This window comes from Homo sapiens, chromosome 8 (assembly GCF_000001405.40).
Source record: "Homo sapiens chromosome 8, GRCh38.p14 Primary Assembly".
Lineage (NCBI taxonomy): Eukaryota > Metazoa > Chordata > Mammalia > Primates > Hominidae > Homo > Homo sapiens.
In genome coordinates this window covers 103,073,052-103,078,706 of record NC_000008.11, presented here as the reverse complement: position 1 = coordinate 103,078,706, position 5,655 = coordinate 103,073,052, and the positions used below count along the sequence as shown (strand labels likewise).

The window sequence follows — 5,655 nt, the reverse complement described above, 5'->3', positions numbered from 1 at the left end:
CGGCAATAATTTATATGATAGACTTAAACCCTTCTTCTACTGAGTGGGGCTCATAGCCTCTTGTCTCTCAGTAAAAGCCTATAATAGTTTGAAGCAAAAAGACAACCCTCCCCTCTAAGAAAAGTGGAAGTGAGAAATATGACATATTGGAAAAATGAAAAGGAAACCAGAATGCTCCCCACCTCGTGCAAAAAATCCCTGTTGTCACATGTTGGCTATTATCAAAAGACTACCGTGTGACTAATTTGGAGCTGTGGAGTCAGCCAGTTATGTGTCAAATATTATTTAAAATGCCCATTTGATAAACAGATGATGACTATGTTTGTGAAGAAATCAAGACAGTTGCAAAAGAATTTAAGAATAAATTTTACAAATTTCTATTACTAAATTCTGCCTGGATCTTCACAGGAAGATCCAGGCAAAGCATTCAGTGTGTTTGCAGAACACTCTTAAAGTTGGAGAAGCTGCAGAGAACTTTCGGGTGCAGAGTCTGGCACACTTCCGGGTTTAGTACATTCTCCATGCATTCATCCACTTCAGTTCTGAACCAGAACCCAGTGCCTGCTATGAATGCGCCAAGCACGACGTAAGAAATAGGGGCTACAAACACACAAGTATGACCACTGCTGCAGTGATCCTTGAAACATGCACATGAGTCCCTAAAATGGGTTCCCTTTGCTAGAAGAAAAAAGTCTGAGTTCTTCACCATGTTCTGAAGACCCCACCTAGGTGCATCTGCTGCACATACCACACCCTTCACTCACTCACTCAGCTATTGCCACGCTGATCCTCTATTACCCAACCTCTATGAGACACTTCCTTCCCCTAGGTCTTCACATGGCTGGCATCCTCTGGGGTATATCTAGACACCCCTCTGAAGCAGCTCTTCCTACCCATTCCCAGCCAGGTTAGTCCTCAATGGCCTTACAGGTGCAGAGGGCGAAAAGTCTTACCTTGTTCGCTATGTTTATTGTGTATCGTCCACCAGCAGGTAGGCTCCATGTGGACAGAGTCCTTTTTCTCATTTGGCTGCTCCTGCCCTAGTACCCAGGTATTCAACAATTACTAAGTATTCACTAAGTGAATGAGGATTCTGCCCTCAGTAAATGGTTGTTGAACAAATGAAGGAACTATGGGCACTTTTACCTAAGCAAGTTGTCAGTGACACATGTACTGAAACAACAGAAAGATATCATCAGACCAGCAAAGTTTCAGATGCTTTATCCCCAGCCAACCAGCTATCTTTTCTTCGGGGACTGCTGACATGAGTGACTGCTAATGTGATAACCAGTGAGATGAGCTACTCTGGGACAGATGTGCAACCTAACCCCCAAGTGGAGGAGGCGGCTGCAGACGGCTGCAGCTAAGGCCAACTGAGATGCTGAGTGGACAAACGAAAACAACAAAAAAGGCAAACAGACAGAATCGACAGCAAGAGCACTGGACGGAGTGAAACCCCAAAGGGCAAATCTCCTTACCATTCGTAAAAGGAAATTCAAATTAATTTTTAAAAATTCTATCGATATAAACAGATAAGCAAAGAATTAAGAGAATTTGTAGAAAATCTGAGCTAATTCCCGGTAGGTTTTTTAAATTGAGAAACAATTCATATACCACAAAATTCACCTTCTAAAGTATACAATTCGGTGATTTTTAATATATTCATAAAGTTGCGTGATCATCAGCACTATCTTAACTCCAGAACGTGATTGCCCCTAAAGAAACCCTGTACCCATTAGCAGCCACTACTAAATCCCTTCCCATCCTGGTTCCTGGCAACCACGAATCTTCTTTCTATACCGATTTATTTGACTATGCATGACATTTCCCATAAATGAAGTCATCTGTGACCTTTTGTGTCTGGCTTCTTGCACTTGGCACGATGTCTTCTAGGTTCATCCATGTTGTGGCGTGGGTCAGTACTTCCATTTCTTTTTATGGCTAATATTCCACTGTGTGGATAAACCGGATTTTGTTCATCCATTCATTCATCAGTTGATGCACACTTGGGTTGTTTCCAATTTTAGCTATTATGAATAATGCAGTTATCAACTTTCATGTACAGGTTTTTGTGTGAATATATGGTTTCAGTTTTCTTGGGTTTACACGTTGGTGTGAACTTGCTGGTCATGTGATGCCAGCAGGTTTTTAATGGGAAATCTGCCTTCTAAACAGATGCAGTTAAAGAGGAACTAATTTCATCTCACATAAGATATGAGGCAGTAGGCAAAAAAGAAACACAAATCATGCAGCATGGAAAAGGGTAGTACACAATAACAACAGCAGTTAATATGTTGAGCCCCTCCTCTGCACCATGTACCATGCTAGAAAATTTGGACCTGCGGTTTAATCCTCATTCTCACAATAGTCCTGTAGTGTTATCCTCATTATCCTTCTTCTACAGAGGAAGGAATGATTCAGACCCTGGGATGCTAGTCTGCCCACGATTTTACATCCTGAGAGAGCACAGATGTGAAGTTGGCTCATGTGGCCTGCTTGGAGGAGGTAGGAAAGGAGAGGAGACTGCTGGAGCATCCCTAGGAACCATCTATGGTCTAAATTCCTCCTCCAAAGCGGCCCCCATCAAATCAACAACAGTAAACGATATTCTTCTTTCAGAGAACACATAGAGAAGCCAATTCTAAAAGGGAAGAAAGTCCAGTTTGAATAGAGCCTCTATCCCGAGGGCAAGTGAGCAGCAATTCGGAATTTGTGAGAAGTGACTTGCCAGTCCTCTGGTCCCAGAACTGGGGTGAGCTGAAGGTGACCAGAGACTGGGGACAAGTGGCCAGTTAGGAGGCTGTCAGAACAGACTAGGAAAGAAATATGGCCAGTGGGGATGCCAAAGGAAGAGCCGGGAGTGGAGGATGGGGCGGGGGGGCCTCCAGAATGCTTCACAAGCCTGAATGCAGAGGGTGGCCAGCTAACGGTAGGAGGTAAAATCCATGCCACATGTCACCGATGGAAAACAAGTCTGACAGAGGGCTCTCCCCTTCCTATTTGCCTCTTTCCAAGGGCAACTGTGAGTTGCTAGACTTCTCAAATAAGGCCTTAATGGCTTCAATGTTTTATGAACCTCTTACATTTCTTAGAGTCAATAAAGACAAATAATATCATTCAAAAGCACGTGGTGAGCATCTCCCTGATGTCTCCCTGCAGAGGCTGGAATAGTGAATGCTCTGCACACAATGGATACTAAGTGAGCACTGATTGACAGAAGAAATTATATTCCCATTAGAACCACACAGCTGTGTTTTCAATTCTGCTGATTCAATATTTCCCATCAGAAACAGCTTCTGGTCTTTCAGTATGACAACCAGTTTACTCTCGTGCACATCAATGCACAAAGTATATGTAGTTGTCTTTTGTGATCAAAGAGAATGCTGTCCTGCGTAGCAATCTGAGGCACACCAACAATGATTCCAAGAGCAATCCTTTCCTCTCTTTTTCTCAGGCTTGTGGGGATGTTAAATCTAGCAATCAAAGTAAACAGAAGCAAGGCTGGCTCTTCCAGTCATAAAAAAACAAACAAAAAAAGCCAAAGGATATGGGATATATTGGAAACTCAAGGTCAAAAAGGCTCATTAGCCAGGTGTGACCAACTAGACCTCTATGTCCAGCGCAGTAGCCACCAGCCACATGTAGCTATTTAATTAGTTAAATAAGATTGGTCAGGTGCAGTGGCTTTCACCTGTAATCCCAGCACTTTGGGAGGCCAAGTCAGGCCAATTGCTTGAGCTCAGGAACTTGAGATCAGCCTAAACAACATGGTGAGCAGTCTCTACCGGGAAAAAAAAATAGCCGGATGTGGTGGCATGTGCCTGTGGTCCCAGTTACTTGGGAGGCTGAGAAGGGAGGATGGCTTGAGCCCAGAAGGCAGCCTGGGCGACAATGCCAGACCTTGTCTCAAAAAAAAATTAGATAAAAAAATTCAGTTCCTCAGTCACACTAGCCACATTTCAAGTGATCTTCAGTCACATGTGACTAGGGGCACCACATTGGGTAGCACAGGTATAGAATGTCCATCATCATAAGAAATTCTTTTGGACACTGCTAAGCCAGGCCGACTAGGTGGTCAAACGTGATAAAATGATGTGTCTATTCTTTACCCACTGACTGATAACATAGGTTGACTTTTCTGGACAGATACCCTTAAATCAGTTTGTTTTCAGACTGTGGGTTTCACAGATCAGTAAAATCCTTTTCCTAACTTAGGGCTGCCGGGTTTGTGTTTTGTCCAGTAAGATTGCCACCAGATCACCAGGCTGCACGCCCCATCAAGGTAGGTAGGCACTGTGCCCATCTGACTGCTTGCATTAAATCCCCAGCGCCTAACACGCCTGGTTCATAGCGCATGCTCAGCAACTGAGTCAGTGATTATATATGCACACGCACATGCACACACATACATATATCCTTACCTTTTTAATTTGATCTTCAGTGAAAACTGTCACTGGCTGGCACTGGTCTGCTCAAAGATGTGTGGGTTTTATGCACACACACACACAGAGGCTAGAGTGTCACAAAATAAGTCATCTAACATTTTTTGAGAACTTTATATTAATAAACGCTTGTAACAAAATATACCAAACCAGAATGCAGAGTGTAGGTTTCTCTAAACTGACTGTACAAGTCAGAACCAAAAATGCAGGGAGGAGAAACTACCTGTTTGCTTTTCAATGGCACCAGAGTGCCCTCTTGTGGTAAAACATGGTATCTGCATAATCACAATTTCTATTTAAAAAACAAGCGTCTTTATGCTTCTAACAATGCATAAAACCTGTACTCAACTATAAAGCACTCTTGAGAAACAGTCTAAATATGTATCTAAGTAGTTTATATAAAATATGGCAAGTTGTGTTGGTGAAAAAAATAATTAAGATTTGTCACAGGACTATGCGGTGAGGCCACCCACATACCTAGGAAACAGCAAAATACATGAAAGCTGCTCTTGGGATTTGATATTCTAAATAGTTCCTGTTCATCTTCTGGTTAAAAAACAAATGACTTTCAAGTTCAAGGTGGTGTCATACAGTTTATTCCTTCCTTTGTCCAACATCAACAATAACCTTTGCTGCCTCCAACTCCTTCTTTCACTTTCATCTTAATAGCCCTTTTCTGGGGGGGAGGAGGGCTTCCTCATATAAACCATTCTTTCAAAGTCTGTTTTGGTTGTTTCTTTTTACACTTTACAAGCAGTGACAAATTATGTCCACAATGAGTTCTCAATTAAAAGATGAAAATGTGACCTTGATCATTTTAGAGTTTTTGCAAATTTCAACTTGATATTCTATGGCCTTCCAAGGGCAAAAGACATCTTTATTGATCAATTTCTGCTGAGACAGAACTCTCCAGTTCTACTGATTTAACGACGTGGAATATTTCTTCAAGTGACAGTAGAAAAAGCTGATTTACCCATGATGATTCTATTAAGTGTGGTCTCTGTCAATAGAGAAGAATCACTATTTGAATGAGACCTCAAGATGCTTACAAATTCTAAATCAACACCCCAATCTGAGGGTTCAGAGGAAGAATCATTAAAAGGTAGTATCCGATTACAACTAACCCCTAGCCTCTGATTCTCCTGGGTATTTGTTTAAAATGTAGGTTATTCCTTGGATCTACTTAAGACTTTAAACCACATCTCTCTGGAGC

At 42.1% G+C, this 5,655-nt stretch overlaps 1 annotated feature.

The window, feature by feature from the left end:
- Positions 1–170: an enhancer, noted in NCBI's record as "active region_27787". NCBI's record gives its function as "activates an Ori minimal core promoter by ATAC-STARR-seq in GM12878 lymphoblastoid cells {active_cell/tissue: GM12878}" and the evidence as "EXISTENCE:reporter gene assay evidence [ECO:0000049][PMID:35858748]".